The 20,889-nt window shown below is 38.4% G+C and overlaps 1 protein-coding gene across 2 annotated transcripts in view, besides 1 other annotated feature; it reads right to left on the bottom strand.

The window, feature by feature from the left end:
- The window catches only part of EPC2 (enhancer of polycomb 2), a 142,819-nt gene that overhangs the window by 101,997 nt on the left and 19,933 nt on the right, over nt 1-20,889 (bottom strand). The gene's annotated exons all lie outside the window — the stretch shown is intronic.
- Nucleotides 6,950-7,549: an enhancer, noted in NCBI's record as "H3K27ac-H3K4me1 hESC enhancer chr2:149435593-149436192 (GRCh37/hg19 assembly coordinates)". NCBI's record gives its function as "activates a minimal SCP1, AML or CMV promoter by ChIP-STARR-seq in primed H9 embryonic stem cells {active_cell/tissue: H9 hESC(primed)}" and the evidence as "EXISTENCE:reporter gene assay evidence [ECO:0000049][PMID:30033119]".

The following is a 20,889-nucleotide window of genomic DNA, read 5'->3' as shown; positions in this document are numbered from 1 at the left end:
TAGCCAGGATGGTCTCGATCTCCTGACCTCGTGATCTGCCCACCTCAGCCTCCCAAAGTGCTGGGATTACAGGCGTGAGCCACCGTGCCCAGCCAGCATAACTTTTATATGCACTGTGAAACCAAAATATTCATGTAACTTGCTTTATTTAGTGTTACTCGCTTTATTGTGGTGGCTTGGAACCAAACCTACAATATCTGTATATATCTAAACATGCTAAATAAAACCATAGACAGAAGAAAACAAAGGGAAATATCTTTCAGCTGTAAGAGCAGAGAACTCCTTAAAATTTCAGAAGTACGAACAATAAAGAAAAAAAAAACTCAACGAAATCCATTATATTAAAATTAAAAATTTTTGTTCAATAAAGGACACCACGGACAAAGTTAATAAATTTATGACAAAATAGTATGTTATTTTAAATGTCTAAAACCTATAAATGATTACTATCAAGAATATATAAGAAACTCCTGCAAATTAACAGGAAAAGTAACCCTAAAGGAAAAATGGGTAAAAGATATAAATAGGCAATTTACAGAAGAGAAAACCCAAAAGGCTAACAAGTATGTGAAGAGATGTGCAAATTCATTAGTAATCAGAAAAACACAAGTTTAAAAAATTTTATGAGACGATTTATACTGATTAGGCTGGCAAAAATAAAAAACTAAAATAATGCCAAGTGTTGGCAAGGATATGATACAAATTCCGGCATGTATGACTATGGAAGCACAGACTTTCTACCATTCCAGAGAGCAACGTGATTAATTACTCAAACTGAATCTGCATAATCTGTGAACTAGCAACTCCTGTCTTGACTGTATAACCCAAAGAAAACCTCACGCAGGTATGTAAGTAGGCATAGGGGTTCACTGAAATGGTATCCGCTGTAGAGGAAAGTTTGAGGCAACGTGGGTATCTATGAGTGGGACAGTAGGGAAGTCAAATGTGGTAGATGCTCATCATGAATATTACCAAACAGTTGGTATCAACAGTCCAGATGCATATACAATGTGATGCATCTTAGAAGCACTGTTACGTGTAGAAGAATCAAGTTGGATCCTCAGCTTTCACCTTATACAAAAATCAACTGACCTGAAACCATAAAAATTCTAGAACATAACATCGGAAAAACTCTTCTACACATTGGCTTAGGCAACGAGTTCATGACCAAGAACCCAAACGCAAATGCAACAAAGATAAATAGATGGGACCTAATTAAACTAAAGATTCTGCACAGCAAAAGAAATAATCAGCAGGGCAAAGAGACAACCCACAGAGTGGGAGAAAATATTTGCAAACTATGCATCTAACAAAGGACTAATATTCAGAATCTACAAGGAACTCAAATCAGCAAGAAAAAAAACAATCCCATCAAAAAGTGGGCAAAGGACATGAATGGACAATTCTCAAAAGAAAGATACATAAATGGCCAACAAACAATGAAAAAATGCTCAACATCACTAATCGTCAGTGAAATGCAAATCAAAACTGCAATGAGATACCACCTTACTCCTGCAAGAATGGCCATAATTTAAAAATTAAAAAGTAATGATGTTGGTGTGGATGTGGTAAAAAGGAACACTTTTACACTGCTGGTGGGAATGTAAACTAGTACAACCTCTATGGAAAAACAGTATGGAGATTCCTTAAAGAACTAAAAGTAGATTTGATCCAGTAATCCCACTACCGGGTAACTACCCAAAGGAAAAGAAATCATTATATGAAAAAGACACTTGCACGCATTTACAGCAGTACAATTTGCAATTGCAAAAATATGAAACCAGCCTAAATGCTCATCAACTAAGGAGTGAATGTGGTGTATATATACCATGGAATACTACTCAGGCATAAAAAGGAATGAAATAATGGCATTTGCAGCAACCTGGATAGAGTTGAAGACCATTATTCTAAATGAAGTAACTCGGGAATGGAAAACCAAACATCACGTTATTATTTATAAGTGGGAGCTAAGCTATGAGGATGCAAAGGCATAAGAATGATATAATGGGCCAGGTGTGGTGGCTCACAGCTGTAATCCCAGTATTTTGGGAGGCCGAGGTGGGTGGATCACGAGATCAGGAGATCGAGACAATCCTGGCTAACATGGTGAAACCCTGTCTCTACTAAAATTACAAAAATTAGCCGGCAGTGGTGGTGCATGACTGTAGTCCCAGCTACTTGGGAGGCTGAGGCAGGAGAATTGCTTGAACCCGGGAGGTGGAGGTTGCAGTGAGCCGAGATCATGCCACTGCACTCCAGCCTGGGCAACACAGCAAGACTCCATCTCAAAAAAAAAAAAATGATATAATGGACTTTGGAGACTTGGCAGGAAGGATGAGAGGGGATTAAGGGATAAAAGACTAGACACTGGGTACAGTGTACACTGCTCAGGTGATGGGTGCACCAAAATCTCAGAAATCACTACTAAAGGACTTTTCCAAGCAAGCAAACACCACCTGTTTCCCCAAAGCTATTGAAATTAAAAAAAAAAAAATTTAAGATCCTTGTGATATATTTTGTGAATAAGGAAAAAAAAAGCAGTGTTAATTCAGAAAACTTGTAAGAAATAGAATCAGATATAACATGTGATTTCTATAAATTAAAAGCAAATGTACATAAAACAGTATGGATTTTGCCAAAAGAGACACATTAAATATATTAGTTGGTTGCCTGAGAGGGTAGAGAAAAGAATGGGAGTAGCAGAGAGAGAACAGAATAAAGGAAACCAGAGAGGAGTCTTGCAATACCCTTTCAAATTCAGGCCGTATTGGACTACAGTGTCAGAGACAAAACACGATTGGCCATATGTGATTAACTGCAGAAGATGACCACATGGAGATTCATTATACTTGTGTATGTTTAATAATTCCATAATAAAAATGAAAATACAGTGAGAGGAGGGGAGGAGAGGAAAAGAGAAGGCCCTTGTAGAAACCAACAGTAACAACGTACCACAAAACTGAGGTATATGAGTAACTCGACTCTCTGCAACTTTCCTCCCAAAAAAAACTCTATACAATAATAAGATTATGTATTGGAGAGTTTTCAAAACATATTTAGTTTTAAAACTGAACAAGGGTTTTGGTGTGCACTCAATGCACCCCAGTAACCACAGGTCAAAAACACTACTCATTAATTAGTGGAGATAAAGGCTTATGAATACTGATAATAACTTTATAAACATAAAATGACAAGGTAGAGAGGATGTGGAGAAATAGGAATGCTTTTACACTGTTGGTGGGAGTGTAAACTAGTTCAACCATTGTGGAAGACAGTGTGATGATTCCTCAAGGATCTAGAACTAGAAATACCATTCGACCCAGCAATCCCATTACTGGGTATATACCCAAAGGATTATAAATCATGCTACTATAAAGACACATGCACACATATGTTTACTGCGGCACTATTCACAATAGCAAAGACTTGGAACCAACCCAAATGTCCATGAATGACAGACTGGATTAAGAAAATGTGGCACATATACACCACAGAATACTACGCAGCCATAAAAAAGGATGAGTTCATTTCCTTTGCTGGGACATGGATGCAGCTGGACACCATCATTCTGAGCAAACTATCACAAGGACAAAAAACCAAACACCGCATGTTCTCACTCATAGGTGGGAACTGAATAATGAGAACACTTGGACACAAGGTGGGGAACATCACACCCCGGGGGCCTGTTGTCGGGTAGGGGGTAGGGGGAGGGATAGCATTAGGAGAAATACCTAATGTAAATGACGAGTTAATAGGTGCAGCAAACCAACATGGCACATGTATACCTATGTAACAAACCTGCATGTTGTGCACATGTACCCTAGAACTTAAAGTATAATTAAAAAAGAAAGAAAGAAACAAACAAACAAACAAACCTAACCAGTCATTTTACCCCATGTTTTTCAAACTGCACCCACTAATAGGTCATAGTCAGCAATTTTTTTTTACGGAAAAGAAAAAAAATCAGAGAGTACTGAATGTAAAAAGTTATTTCAGTCATATACGTTTGTAAAATGTTTTTTATTGTCGATCGCAGTCAAAACTGTTTTTAAGAAAACCCTAATATATTCAAACTACCCATTTGTGTTTTGATAAGGTCTTACTGCCTGTAACAAAATTAAACAAATGTAGCCTTTGAGAGATTTGTAAACTCTGAAACAGCAACATGAATTACTATTTCTCCTACCTGCCATTCTCCACACAGCCCCCTCCCCCAATAACAATCCCCTACTTCTCCTAAATAAACCCTTCTGGTCCACATTTAAAATGTCACGTCTTCAGTGAAATCTGACCATCCTAAGTGGAAAAAAAAAATCTCTTTTATCAGTTCTCGGAAACACACACCTTTCCAGCATAGGCTTCTCAGAAGTGGACGTTTATATCTGTTTTTGTAACCATGTGATTTCTGCCTCCTTCTTCCACTGGACTGTGGGGCAAGACAATGTGTCTGTTTTGCATCTACCACTTTGTCCCCAGTGCCTGGCACACCATAAGCTCATGGAGCTTCTACATCATACTAAAGAAAAAGGCAAGTTGCCCACCATCTACAGGATAAAGTCTCATTTTTTGAGCTTGACAAACATGTCTCATCTGAAGCAGTCCAACCTATTATCATTCTAGCACCATACCTCTCCCAAATATCCTTCTCTAAAATTACAGCAACCTTCTTGCTATTCCCCAGTAACAGCATACTGTTTTATGCTTTTGTTTCTTTATATACTGGTCCTCTTCTGAATACAATTTCTACTTCCTATTCCCTGAGTTCACACATATCTTCTCACTCACTATGCCTAGTCTTCAAATTCATGAAAATCTCCAGCTTCTTGACCTTTCCATTTTCTTCATCAGATTCCCTTATAGCTCTTATTTCTTCACTCAGGTCTAGAATCTATGACTCATCTTACCTCAATGCCATCAATTTCTCTGTCAACTTCATTCTATGTTTATAGTGACCAAGTTGGCTCAACAAATATTTCAGGGTCCTTAAGCACCACAGAGGCTTTCTAAGTGAACATTTATCAACCTCCAAACGAAATAAATATCCGGCCTCAAGATATAGAAGTGCACTAGAGTAAACGAAACTAGATGGCTGAATATGCTACAATGCATGAATTAAAAATTATTTATCAGTAGGCATCATTTCTATACACTTGAGAACACCTATTAAACACCGGATATTATCCTGTTATTGAGAACTGTTGAATGAGAAACAGTCTCTGCCATTAAGAAACTCACCTAGTCAGAGAGAGATAATGAAGTATGCAATCATGTTTGAACTTCACAAGCATGTCCAATCTCAACTAGTCAAACCACTCATCTTGGAAGGTTAGGGAAAGATGCCCAAAGAAAGTAAAATCTAAACTATTGACTTTTAGGATCAATAGGGATTTAGCAGGGCAAAAGAAGAAATAAATAAGCGAGGCAGAGAAAACATTATGTCCAAAATGAACAAAGGTCCAGAAACATTTAAAAAAAAAAAAAAAGGGGCTTGAGAAAAGGGCTTCCAGTGCCAGGCAGAAATATGTTTTTCTTAATAGGGCAGAATCCCAAGTTGGAACACCAAATACATTTTCCCATTCAAGTATTACTACAAATTTAGTTAGAATCTATTAGTAGTAAAAACTTTTGCCAGGCGCAGTGGCTTATGTCTATAATCCCAACACTTTGGGAGGCAAGACAGGAGGATCGCTTCAGCTTAGGAGATCGAGACCACCCTGGGCAACATGGTGAGACTATGATTCTCTATTAAAAAAATAAAAATTAGCTGGATGTGGTGGCTCACATCAGTGGTCCTAGTTATTTTGGAGGCTGAGTCAGGAGGATCACTTGAGCGCAGGAATGGGAGGCTGCAGTGAGCTGTGACTGCAACACGGCACTCCAGCCTGGGAGATAGAGCAAGACCCTCTCTCTCTCAAAAAACAAACTTTTGCTCTAAGGCAGTGAGAACCACACACCTACAACAACAAACAACATCAAAGAACTAGGAAGCCAAGGCTGGAATCAGTAATTTCTAACGATTTAAGCCCATGTTCTCCTATACTTTTCTTACATCTCACCTTGCTGGTCACAGAAAGTGATGAAATATACAATGTCACCTTGCAGTTATGTAATGTTTTACAGTTCTCAGAGAGCCTCTGCAATCATGTGCTTATTAGGTCCTCACAATCTTGGGATATATTGGTAGATATTTATATTATTTTATAAATAAGACTCAAGAAACAGGTGATTTGCTCTTAGTTATGGCATCATTTTACAAGAGAATCAAATTTCAAGACTAATTCCAGGGTTCTTTACTCCATCCTTACTAGAGAAGAGTGTTAGTATAAAGATGAAAAACCTGTCCTAGTAATGCTGATGATCTACAGATATGGGTAAATAAGAAGAAACTGAGCTAAATGGCAGCATATGTATTTAAAGCAATTCTTTGGATACATACTTCACTTTCCCCAAAGTACAAAACATTTTTAGATCCAGTTATCAAAATACATCTTTAATATATGAGGATTCAATATTATTTTGTTTTAGTGACAGGGTCGCACTCTGTCACCCAGGCTGGGGTGCTGTGGCATGGTCATAGTGCATTGTAACTTCAAATTCCTAGGCTCAAGTGGTCTTCCCGCTGAGAGGTGACAGAGTGCTGGCAGTCCTCACAGCCCTCGCTCGCTCTTGGCGCCTCCTCTGCCTGGGCTCCCACTTTGGCGGCACTTGAGGAGCCCTTCAGCCCACCGCTGCACTGTGGGAGCCCCTTTCTGGGCTGGCCAAGGCTGGAACCTGCTCCCTCAGCTTGCACGGAGGTGTGGAGGGAGAGGCACAAGTGGGCACCAGGGCTGCATGCAGCGCTTGCGGGCCAGCTGGAGTTCCAGGTGGGCGTGGGCTTGGCCAGCCCTGCACTCGGAGCAGCCGGCCCCAGGCAATGAGGGGCTTAGCACCCGGGCCAGCGGCTGCGGAGGCTGTACTGGGTCCCCCAGCAGTGCCAGCCCACCAGTGCTGCGCTCGATTTCTCGCAGGGCCTTAGCTGCCTTCCCGTGTGGCAGGGCTCGGGACCTGCAGCCCGCCATGCCTAAGCCTCCCACTCCCTCCATGGGCTCCTGCGCAGCCCGAGCCTCCTCAACAAGCGCCACCCCCTGCTCCACGGCACCCAGTCGCATCAACCACCCAAGGGCTGAGGAATGCGGGTGCAATGTGTGGGACTAGCCGGCAGCTCCATCTGCAGCCCTGGTGCGGGATCCACTGGGTGAAGCCAGCTGGGCTCCTGAGTCTGGTGGGGACGTGGAGAACCTTTGTGTCTAGCTCAGGGATTGTAAATACACCAATCGGCACTCTGTATCTAGCTCAAGGTTTGTAAACACACCAATCAGCACCCTGTGTCTAGCTCAAGGTTTGTGAATGCACCAATCAACACTCTGTATCTAGCTACTCTGGTGGGGACCGTGGAGAACCTTTGTGTCTAGCTCAGGGATTGTAAATGCGCCAATCAGCGCCCTGTCAAAACAGACCACTCAGCTCTACCAATCAGCAGGATGTGGGTGGGGCCAGATAAGAGAATAAAAGCAGGCTGCGGGAGCCAGCAGTGGCAACCCGCTCGGGTCCCCTTCCACACTGTGGAAGCTTTGTTCTTTCGCTCTTTGCAATAAATCTTGCTACTGCTCACTCTTTGGGTCCACACTGCCTTTATGAGCTATAACACTCACCGTGAAGGTCTGCAGCTTCACTCCTGAAGCCAGCGAGACCACAAGCCCACCGGGAGGAACAAACAACTCCAGATGCGCCGCCTTAAGAGCTGTAACACTCACTGCAAAGGTCTGCAGCTTCACTCCTGAGCCAGCGAGACCACGAACCCACCAGAAGGAAGAAACTCCGAACACATCTGAACATCAGAAGGAACAAACTCTGGACACACCACCTTTAAGAACTGTAACACTCACCGCGAGGGTCCACGGCTTCATTCTTGAAGTCAGTGAGACCAAGAACCCACCAATTCCGGACACACTGCCTTAGCCTCTCAAGTAGCTGGGAATACAAGTGCGTACCACCAAACCTAGATAATTTTTAAAATTTTTTATAGAGATGGAGTCTCACTATGTTGCCCAAGTTGGTCTTGAACTCCTGGCCTTAAGCAATTATCCTGCCTCAGCTTCCCAAAGTGTTGGGATTACAAGCATGAGCCAGCATGCTGGCCTTATTTTAATTTCATAAATGAGAAAATTTTTAAACAGATCACAGATGACTCTCTTCTTGTTAAGAGAGTTGGCAGATGACAGAGCTGAATCCAGAAATTAAGGAGCCAGATCATGACATCCTCCCTCAATTTAACTTACAGACCAAATTTAGCTCTAAAAATAAATCTCATCTTCATTTCTTTCACCAGATTATGAGACAGTCTCTCAAACCAAAAAACCAGAAGAAAATACAGTAAACGTTTTTAGAGGACTGTGTTTCATATAATAAACATGACTAGTTGTAAACATGTAGAATCCTGGAAGTAGGTACCAGAGTTCTGGTTTGTCTTTTTTGGGGAAAGGGTAGACAGAGGTAATATCAATTCCTTGTTACATTGTTACATGCTGCGTTATACTTTGGTAGGTTACTAGGCTTTTAAAAATAACTAAACTCAAGCACAGGCACTACGTGATTTCCTTTCCTTTAAAAAGGTATCCCTTTGACCCACCAACTCTGTTTATGGAATTCAACCCCCCCCCCAAAAAAAGTGGGTAATAATGGCTATATAAAAATGGTCATCATGGCACTGTTTATAAGACAAAAAGAGAGACAGAGAGAGAGAGAGAGAGAGAGAGCACCTAAATGTCAATAAACAGGGAATTACTTATGTAAATTACACTATTACACATAAGACTGAACTCTTGCTTAGGCAGCAGTAAAAAAACAACATAACTTTAGATCTCCACTTAAAAAAAAAACTAGGATATGAAGTAAACAAGCAGGTTATAAAATAACATGAGCAAATATAAATACATATATATGTAGAGAAAGGAGCCTAGATGAATAGAATATACCACAAAATGCTAACTAATTAAGTGATTGTTATTTTTTTCTGTGTGCCCTCTGTATTTTCTAAATCTTCTGTAGTAAATCTGTATTACTTTTTAATTATATTAATGTTATAAAATAAAGTTTTTTAATGTTATAAAAATATTGCATTTTAATTGAAACATCTCTTCACCAAGATACACAAAATCACTTCTTATAGGTACTTTGACATTCTGAAAAATCTTTTTGAAACCTAGATACACCTCTCCACCAAGATACACAAAATCACTTCTTATAGCTACTTTGACATTCTGAAAAATCTTTTTGAAACCTACTATAATTACGCTTGAGCATTTTTCTGAGTTTCTGTAAAGACATTATACACTTTCTACTTTTTATTTTCCCCTGAAAACATGAAATTACATGGTAAATAAAGCAGACTTTAAAAAAAAAAAAACTAAGTAATTCATGACTTTTAGTCATACACAATGAGTACCAAGATGCAGAGAAGTAGTATGTTATTGTTGTTGTTGTTTTTCTTTTGGGGACGAATGAACTAAGGTTCTATGGCCACACTGGTAGAAATCAGCAAGAATGAAATTTGAATCCTTGTCTGGCGCTTTTCCATCTTACCAAGTTCATGCCCCAACTTCCTGGCTTTCAGGATTTATCCACTGAATTAGGCTACACACATAGCCAAAGATTATTCATTGCTATTTTAAAACTCCCAACTAAAGATAGCTGACTGAATGCCTATACTTATATACTCTACCACCTTATAATGTAAGCTTATTAGTAATGGACTAAAAAACGTATAAAACCACAATGACAAAAACAATGAGATAGGCCATCAGCACAAGAGTGCCGTAAAATTCTGGGAAACTAAAATTGAAAAGAGCAGGAGAGAGGATAGATACTGGGCCCATCTGACCCACAGAAAATCAGAGATGATAGGGATTTATGAACACCAGCTAGAAAGAGTTAGAATGAAAAAAGCACTTCCTTGCCTACTTGTTGAAAGCCCATCATTTTATACAGATAGAAGAGGGTACCATTAAACTAAGAATGTTGTGAATACCTCAAATCTAAAAAAATGAACAGAAGAAAATGTAATAAATCTATTCAATTATCTTAAAACGAGAAGACAAGATTCAGCTATATCTCTACTGATGAACAACTCTCACTCTGGGGAGGGGAGAAAAAAGAAATGTTCAAGAAAAATGCTCCAAACCTAATATACTCAAAAGTAGCATTTAGGGATACGAAAAATTTTAAAAATCACCTGAAATCTGAAAATCTCCAAAACTAAGAACATAAAAGGCAGAGGTAGGAAGACCTAGAAAGAAATTTACTCATAAATGGAAGAAAAGGGAAAAAAAAATCTCAGAAATAAAGACTACAATTATTAGAAGCCCAATGAAAATTATGTCCCAAAAAACCTTTAAGTGTGCTGCATAAAGCTGGTCAAATACCCAATTGAATGAAAATTAGATAAATAGAGAAATAAAATGAGTAAGACAGAAGGTGGTAAGCAGAATGTGCAACAGGCAAGGAAGGAATGACAGTCATGTAGAGTTCCTAAAGAACAAAACAATGCAACAGAACTAATATTTAAAACTATATTCCAAGAAAACCTTCTAGGAACAAAAGACTACGAAGTTACAAACCAGTAAAGGGAGCAAGATGGAGGATGAGTAAGCCCCATACCTCATTCCCACACAAACATACTGACTGTACAATATACAGTCCAAAAAGCCTTGAGAAATCCAGAAACCAGCTGAGAAATTGCAGTACCCCAGGCAAGATCAAAGCCAGGAACACGTGCATTGAAATGGGTTTAAAAGGCCATAAGCCCTTCCCCCAAGCCAGCACACATCAACACTACTGGGAGAAAAAGCACAACTTATGGCTTCTTCCTCAGGAGAGAAAGAGAAGAGTGAAACCTATGTCCAACATTCTGGCTTTTCAGGAGTCTGCCTGATGGACTGGTATACTTTGGATACCTGGGGTCCACTGAGAACAGAATTGGGCTCAGCAACTTTGTGTAGCACCAGAGAACCTGCACCACAGCAGGTAGAAAACAGCACAACTTGGTGTGATGAGGCAAAAGTGTCCAGTTCATGGCTTTTCCCTTTGGAAGGAAATGGAAGAGTGGAAAATGCATCCAATATTCTGACCATCTGGTGGAATGTAGAAGGGACTAATTCTGTCTTCCTGACTTGAAGCACTGACTTAACCAACATACTTTGGAAACCTGGAGACTGTAGAGAACAAAAGAACTCAGTGGCTTGCTGCAGCACCAGAGAATCTGCAGTACCACACACAGAGACAAGAGGGAGCAAGAGAGTACAAACACCTGAGAAAGAAACTAGCAAACCTCTCTAATTGGGAAATTACACATACAAGTACAACAAAGATGCATCTCCAGAATCTCTAGCTGGACTGATCTGCAAAGGTCTTCTCTTAGACAAAACCAGTTTGTAAAGACTGGGAGAGATGCCTGTTTTTTCAAATGCACCAGTCATGGCAAAAAATAAGAAAAAAAGAAGCAGGCAAACAGCCCAATAAAGCAAGAAACTAAATCAAGAAAACAACCCAAAAGATCTATGAATTATCTAATAAAAAATTCAAAATAACTGTCTTAAAGAGGATCAATGTACTATAAGAGAACAATGATAGACAAGTAAATAAAATCAGAAAGCCAGGCGTGGTGGCTCACGCCTGTAATCCCAGCACTTTGGGAGGCCAAGGCCAGCAGATCACTTGAGGTCAGGAGTTTGAGACCAGCCTGACCAACACGGCAAAACCCCATCTCCACTGAAAATACAAAAATATTAGCCAGGCATGGTGAGGCACACCTGTAATCCCAGATACTTGGGAGGCTGAGGCATGAGAATCACTGGAACCCAAGAGGCAGAGGCTGCAGTGAGCCGAGATCGCACCACTGCACTCCAGCCTGGGTGACAGAGTGAGACTCTGTCTCAATAAATAAATAAATAAGAAAAATGATTAATGTATAAAATGAAAATAAAGACATAGATTAGTTTTTAAAAGATCCAACAGAACTTCTGAAGTTGAAGAATATGATAACTTAATTGGAAACATTACTAGAGAGGTTCAACAGCAGACTTATCAAACAGAGCAAATCATCAGTGAATTCAAATACAAGTCATTTGAAATTTTTGAGTCAGAGGAACATAAAGAATGAAGAAATGTGAAGAAACACTAAGGGACTTATGGGATACAATCAAGCGGACCAATATACACATTATAGGAGCTTAAGAAGGTTAGAGAGAGAAGGGACAGAGAGCTTATTTGAAGAAATAATGGCAAAAATTTCCCAAATCCAATTAAGGAAATGGACATCCAAATTCAGGAAGCTCAAAGGACTCCAACTAGAATAGCCCAACAACACACACACTGAGAAACATTATAATAATTATAATCAAGTTATCAAAAGTCAAAGACAGAGAATCTTGAAAGTAAGAGAAAAACAACTTGTCATGTACAAGGGAGAGCTCATAGATTTATCAGTGCATTTCTCAGCAGAAACGTTACAGCTCAGGAAACAGAGTAATATATCCAAAGGACTGAGAGAAAAAAACTGTCAGAACAGAATGATATATCTGACAAAATGTTCTTCAAAAATGAAAGACAAATAAAAACCTCCCAGATAAGTAAAAACTGAGGGAGTTCATCGCTACTGACCCTTCCTATAAAAATTGCTAAAGGGAGTCCTTCAAGTTGAAACAAAAGGATGCTAGACAACAACAAGAAACCACGCAAAAATATAAAACTTAGGTAAAAGTAAATATATAGGCAAATAGAGAACCTATACTACTGTAATAGTGGTATGCAAATTATTTTAATTTCTGGTATACAACTTAAAAGACAAAAACATTTTTAAAAAACTATGTTAATGCATACAAAACACAAAAAATATAATTTTGACACTATAATATTAAGCGGTGGTGAGCAAAAGGCATAGTTTTTGTATACAAAAATAAATTGCTTTTAAGTTTTTAGACTGTTGCCACTGTAAGATGTTTTATGTAATCCCCATGATGATCACACCACAAATACCTTCAAGAAAATTAATGAAAGAAATAAAAGTATGTCACTATAAAAAACAAAATCAACGAAGCACAAAGGGAAGTCAGCATGTGAGAGATAGAGTAGATGAATGGCGTGAAAAACAAAAAGACTCCGACCACATGCTATCTACAAGAGATTCACTTTAGACATAAGGACAAACATAGCCTGAAAGTGAAAAGATGGAAAAAGATATTCCATGTAAATGGTAACCAAAAGAAAGCAGAGATGTCCATACTTCTATCAGACAAAAGAGACTTTAGTCAAAAACCATCAAAGACATAAAGATACATAAAGACAAATGAGTTAATTCACCAGTAATATATAACAATTATAAGACTTACTTTTAAGTACTTCTTATAATTAAGAAGACTGAGTCAGTAATCAAAACACCTCTCAACAAAGAAAAGCCTAGGACCAGATGGCTTCACTGGAGAATTTTACCAAACATTTCAAGAAGGATGGACACAAATCCTTCTCAAACTCAAAGATACTTTAAGAAAACTATAGGCCAATATCCCATACATATTCAGGCATATCAACAAATGTGAATGAATTTAACTCACCTACTAAAACAAAAAGGTTTTCAATTTGGCTTGTAATCCAAGGCTCAACTATACACTGTACACCAAAAAAAAAAATTCCTCCTCTAAATGAAAATAATGCAACTAAAAATGCAAGGAGGAAGAGGAAAAAATAGAATAAGCTGAATTTTTGTGAGCTTACTCAAAGATGGTTAAGAAAGGGTAAAAATAAAGGGACGGACAAAAGTTTACCAGGTAAATGGAGACAATAAGAAATGCAAGCAGATCCTAATACAAGTAGAATTCAAGCCAAAGAAAATTAAATATGACCATAGAAAAGATGACTTTTTTTGGGGGGATGGGGTCTTGCTCTGTTGCCCAGGCTGGAATGCAGTGGCACAATCTCAGCTCGCTGAAACCCCCACCTCCCAGGTTCAGGCAATTCTCCTGCCTCAGCCTCCCGAGCAGCTGGGATTACAGGTGCACACCACCATGCCTGACTAATTTTTATATTTTTAGTAGAGACAGGGTTTCACCATGTTGGCCAGGCCAGTCTCAAACTCCTGATCTCAAGTGATCCGCCTGCCTCGGCCTCCCAAAGTGCTGGGATTACAGGCATGAGCCATCATGCCCAGCCAAAAAGATGACTTTTTAATGCTACAAAAAAAAAAAAAAAAAAAATCACAATCCACAATAGAGATTTAGCATTTATGATTATTTTTACAGCAAGTAATGAAGCAAACATTTTATGAAGCAAAAGCTACCAGATATGCAAGTACCAATAAATAAAAACACACTAATAACAGCAAACTTTAATATACCACTATCAGCATAAAACAAATCAAGTGAACACCTAAGCAACTTAATAAGGTTGATCTTAAACCTATATATCAGACTTTATGCCCAAATGGCCCCTCCTTCCCAAGTACCCAAGAAACCATCATAAAAATTGTTCATGTATTAGTCAAGAATGAGAAAGAATAGGGGCTGGGTGCAGTGGCTCACACAGTAATCCCAGCACTTTCAGAAGATGAGAAAGGAAGACTGCTTAGCCTAGGAGTTCAAGACAAGCCTGGGCAACATACTGATGTCTAGTCTCCACAAAAAATAAACAAAAATAGGTGGCACGTGCCAGCTACTTGGGAGGCTGAGGTGGAAGGATTGCTTGAGCCTGGAAGTTGAGGCTGCAGAAATCTTGCCACTGTACTCTAGCCTGGGCAGCAGAGTGAGACCGAGGGGAAGGGAGGGGACAGGGAAGAGGAGAGAGAATAGACAAGGGAGAGGAGGGGAGAGGAAATTTTTCTAAGCATACTGTTTGTAGAGTTCCAAATTTTAGAACCACGTTTGACATGCTCAAAAAATAAAAAATTAAAATCAACAGGGATTTGGAAGAAAGAACCCAACGGGGAATACAAAAAGAAACAAAAAATAAATCCTATCTTGTAAATGAACCCATATTAACGGGTAAGAGGTTTCTTTTGGGGCTGATAGAAATGTTTTGAAACAAAATAGTGGTAATGGTTGTACAACATTGTGAATATACTAAAAAACACTTACTTGAATACTTTCAAATACAGAATTTTACATTATATGAATTGTCTCTCAATTTTAAAACTTAAAAAAAAAAAAGAGTTAACATGGACCAAATTCACCCTTCCACCTGATGCAACCAGCAAAATACCCCGACAAAGTAATAAAACAATGGGTTTTAAGACAACGGACATCAGGCAATGAAGGCCAGTGCTCTTTAAGAGAAGGAAAACAAATGAGGTAAGCCCTATGGCTGCCTCAGTAGTTAGTTCCCAGAGTATGGAGCAAGAGAATAAACTGAGGCAGAAGGCTTCATGAAGCTCAGTAGACTTCATGAGTTGAGACAGAGTTCAGAAGACCAAGGCAGCTAAGGTTCATAGGACAGAGTACCAAAGAGGAAAAGAACTGCACGGAGAAAGAACCCAGGAGCTCTAAAGAGGCTTCCCTGGAGTACTTAGCAGTGTACTACTGATCAGCACAGCTGTGTGAAGAAACTACCCGAGGCTGGAGAAACAACCATCCAAAAGAGTCTGAGGGAACACAATGCCTGTTCCTAACAAGACTGAAAAACCTCAAAATTTAAAGGGCATTGGATAGAGTACTCAGCAAAAAATACTGATTCAGTAGTGGAGAATAATTAACCCAAGAATGATCAGTGCTTCAGACTCCCTAACAAATTAAAAGAGCAAAACCTAAAGGTATCAAACTATTTACAAGTAACTTTACAAATTTTGAGGTTTTTCCAGTCTTGCTACGAACAGGCACTAGTCCCTCAAACTCTTTTGGATGATTGTTTTGGTGCCAACACTGCGCACTGCAGCCTCGATCCCCTGGGCTCAAGTGATCCTCCTGCCTCAGCCTCACGAGTAACTGGGACAACAGGTTTACACCATCACACCTAGCTAATTTTTTAAATTTCTCTTTTGTAGAGACAGGGTCTTGCCATGTTGCCCAGTCTGGTCTCAAACTCCTGACCTCAAGCAATCCTCCCACCTTGCCCTTTCAAAGTGCTGGGATTACAAGTGTGAACCACTGTGCCCAGCCTTTACAAGTAACTTAACCGCATCCCAGAACAAAGCTCAAGGACATTTATAGGAATACAAAAATATCCAGCACCCAACAGTATAATATTCAATGGATATTAAAAGAGACTCATTAAAAATATTCAATCCAAAAGGTGGCAGAAAAAGAGGGAGAGGGGAACAAAACCAGAAGAAACTACTAGTAAGATGACAGAGTCAAACCTAACCTTACTAAAAATCATATTAAATGTAAATGGTTGAAACACCACAAGAGATGAAAATCAAATAACACACTTCTAAATAACCTATGGCTCAAAGAAGAAATCAAAAGAGAAATAAATTAGAAACTATTTTGAACTAAATGAAAATACAACAGGATGTAAGATGTAATAAAGCAGCACACAGGAAAAAAATTTGCAGCACTAAACACCTGTATTAAAATAGAAAAAGGTTTCAGCATTTACCCTAAAAACCTGGAAGAACAAAATAAACTCTAAGAAAGAAAGGAAATAAGATCATAGTAGAAATCAATAAAATATAAAACAGAAAATCCACAGAGAAAGATCAACAAAACCAAAAGCTAATTCTTTAAGAAAATTCATAAAATTGATAAACCTCTAGCCAGATTAGGGGGGAAAAAAAGTGAGAAGACACAAATGACCAATATCACAAACAAGAGGTAATATCACTCCAGAGAATATCTGAACTTCATGACAATAAATTCAACAACTAGCTGAAAAGGACAAATTCCTTGAAAGAAGTAATCAAAGCTCACTTGGGAAGAAACTGTTAGCCTTATACGTATTAAAGAAACTGAACTTTAAAAGTTCACACAAAGAAAACTCCAGAAACAGATGGTTTCACTGGTGAATTTTACCAAATATTTAAGGAGAAAAACAATACCAACTCTACACAATTTTTTCCAAAATACTGACGAGGGAGGAATACTTCCCAACTCATTCCACGAGGCCAGTATGATTCTGATCCTAAAACCAGAAAAAGATATTGGAAGGAAAGAAAACTACAGACAAATACGTATTTATGAACTGAAATGCAATCACTCTAAACAAAAATGTAGCAAATAGAATCCAATAATACATTAAAAGGATAATACATGACCAAATGGGGTTATTCCAGGTAGGCAGGATTGACTTACATTCAAAATAAATGTAACTTACCATATTAATAAGCTTTAAAAAATAAATAAAATAAAAAACTGAGACCAGGAGTGGTGGCTCACACCTTTAATCCCAGCACTTTGGGAGGCCGAGGCAGGTGGATCACACGGACAGGAGTTCGAGACCAGCCTGGCCAACATAGTGAAAGACTGTCTCTACTAAAAATACAAAAATTAGCTAGGCATGGTGGCGTGTGCCTGTAGTCCCAGCTACTTGGGAGACTGAAGCAGGAGAATCGCTTGAACCTGGGAGGCAGAGGTCGTGGTGAGCCGAGATCATGCCACTGCACCACTCCAGCCTGGGCAACAGAGTGAGACTCCGTCTCAAAACAACAACAACAACAACAACAAAAACTGTATGATCATCTCTACAGATACAGAAAAAGCATTTGACAAAAGCCAACATCCATTCCAAAAATTCACAGAAAACCAGAACTACAAAAGAATGTCTTCAATCTGATAAAGGGCATTACAAAAAAAACTACAACTAACATCACACAGAAGTGAAATACTATTTTTCTCAGGATGGCCATTCTCAACTGTTCTATTCAATATTGTACTGGAGTTTCTAGTCAGTGTAATCATCAGACAAAAGAAAGGCAGTGGGGAGTCAAAAAAACGGAGTGAATAAACATCCAGACTGAGAGAGGAAGAAGTAAAACTGCCTTTATTCACAGACCACATGATCCTCTATGCAGAAAATCTGATGGAATCTACAAAAAAAAACTACTAGAATAAGTGAGTTTAGTAATATTGAAGGATATAAAATCAATATACACAAAAAAATCTACTGTAATTCTATATACTAGTTACAAACAACAGGACACTGAAGTGAAAAAACAGATTCCAGACAATCTCTGTAAAGATCCCATTTCAATCTCCACTGGTTTGAAACATAACAGTGTGCTAGTTCCTTTTATTTTGTACTGAAACAACCTGCCACACATCCAACTTGGGGCTGTCTGACTCAGTTGCTATGTGACCCTGAGGTCTTACAACGATGAAGAGTTTTGATTGGCAAAGTCTTCATTCATCTACGGAACAGCAAGACAGGCTTCTCAATTCTATCAACAGAATGTTAATAACGTGGCCCATCCTACTGGTATCTTAAAACACCAGAATTTTCCTTTTCATTAAGCACATATATTTTCAACCATATCAATCCTCAGTTACACATATTATTTCCTTTCTAAGAATCTGTGACAGATTTAACTTATAACCAATCATGTCTTTCAGTCTTTCATTTACATAGTTGGCACTCTAAGAGAGTTTAGACTTATAAGAGTGCTATCCAGCTCCTACTCAAAAAAGCACAGATAATCAGCATTTTAGAAGGAAATACCTCCTGAGCCTGGAAAAAAAAAAAAAAAGTCTAACAATGGCTTATTAAAGTTTCATGTGCTTCAGCTTCAGAATCACCTATAGGTCTTGTTTCAACACACTGCTGAGCCAAACCACCAGAATTTCTGATTCAGTAGGCCTGGGATGGAACCAGACAACTGGCATTTCTAAGTTCCCAGGTGATGTTTGATGATGCTGTGCATTTGGGACTACACTCTGAGAACCACCAGTTTAAGGCAGTGCTACTCAGACTGCAATTCTCTAGAAGCACAAAATTCAGTGTAAGCATTTAGGAGTTTAAAGCAATCAGACAGAGTAATTTTATCTGCTGAAACTAATAATTTTAAAAGTGTGAACTTGTATTTTCTATATCTTTAATTTTTCTGTATTTTTATTGTACCTGACAAAAGTATCGGTATGCAATAAATTAAAAATTTTTTTTAAATTGGTCCTCTGGCCTGGTGCAGTGGCCCATGCCCGTAATCCCGGCACTTTGGGAGGCCAAGGCAGGAGGATAACTTGAACTCCAGAGTTCAAAACCAACCTGGGCCACACAGCAAGACCCTCATCTCTACAAAAAAAGTCAAAAAATTAGCCAGGCATGGTGAAGCATGGCTGTAATCCCAGCTACTCAGGAGGCTGAGGCAGGAAGATGGCTTGAGCTCAGGGGATGAAGCCCACAGTAAGCCATGATCATGCCATTGCACTCAAACCTGGGCTGACCCAGAGCAAGACCCTGTTTCAAAAAAATAAAAATAAAAACAACAACACAAAAACTGGTCTTTCACCACAGACAATTTGAAAAACGTGGCCTAAAGAACATGCTATCCATCCAATTCACTAATATTCTAAATACTGGCTTGTAGAAACATTACATAAGTTTCATTAACTTTGCCTCCCAAAGAAACACATCAGCTTTAGCTAAAAATCAATAAAATAAGCAGTCGCATTATTGATGTTTGTTTTTTCTGTAAAACTATATTTAAAGACATTTATCACCTAAACAGATAAGTGCCCATTTACTATAAATTCCTTTTAGAATTTTATATTATAAAGATTTTTTTCTCCTGAAAAACAGCTGTTATTAAATTTTAAATTAATAAGAACTGAATCATTCATAGTTGCTCTGTCTTAACTGCCTGTGAGGGGTATGAAGAAGAGGTGTGAGTGGATGGCTTTAACGGACTGAGTAACTGATATCCTAAACAGAAATATAAAAGTGAAAACAATCTTGTGCAGAAAACTGTTATCCTAAACATCATAATTCTAGAATATTTGAATTATAAATCAACTTTTGGAAAACTTAATTATAAGTTGTATAATGCTAACTTGTACCACTTGATAATGCAACAAATGTTTACTCTTTTGTTCCCATATCTAATTGTTGGGTTTTCGAAAACCTTGTTTTAAATCAACAATTTCCTAATGCTAAGTAAGACCACGGTCTTCAACATCAACTTAGAAAGGTGACACTAACATCAATGTAGCTTAAATATTCACTCGAGACTGGAAATGACAGTAGTAAAAAAAATTCAAACAGTAGGTGAATAAATTACTGGTATTTGACTTTTAAAAACATTAGTTGATATTCAGTTAATTTACTTACTGATTTACAAAGTCATTTCTAAAATTATTTTGCATTCCTTGAATACTAAGGGTAGACAGATAACCCATACAGATAATTCCAAGATACCTATATATGAAAACAACCAAGAATTAGATCCAAAGTTGTGAAAAAGACAGAATGATTTCACAGGTCTAGGATGGAACCTGAGGTTCAGCATTTTAACAAGCTCCCAGGTAATGCGTAGCTACAGACCAAACTCAAGTAGCAAAGTTATAAACTAGATAAATGTCTCAAAGTATCTTTATGGTAGAACCACTCTGAAAAATGGTTTGATCCTTTTTAAAGTTAAACCTTTTAAATGTAACTACTATATGATGAAGGCATTTCACCTTCAGGTATGTATTTACCCCAAACAAAGGAAAACAGATCGAAGCCAAAAATCACTCTAAAGATAAACAAATTGTGATACAGCCACAAACTGAAATACTATTCAGCAACAAAATGGAGTGAACTATTTATACAAGCTGCAATATGTATTAATCTAAAACAAAAGTATGCTGAGTGAAAGAAGCTAGAGCAAAGAAAAAGAGTATATACTGTGATTCCATTTATATAAAATTCTAGAGAATGCAAACCACTAATCTACAG

The sequence above is a fragment of the Homo sapiens genome, chromosome 2 (genome assembly GCF_000001405.40).
Source record: "Homo sapiens chromosome 2, GRCh38.p14 Primary Assembly".
NCBI classification, from domain to species: Eukaryota; Metazoa; Chordata; class Mammalia; order Primates; family Hominidae; genus Homo; species Homo sapiens.
Note: the sequence above shows the minus strand (reverse complement) of the source record. Positions and strands in the feature narration are given on the sequence as shown.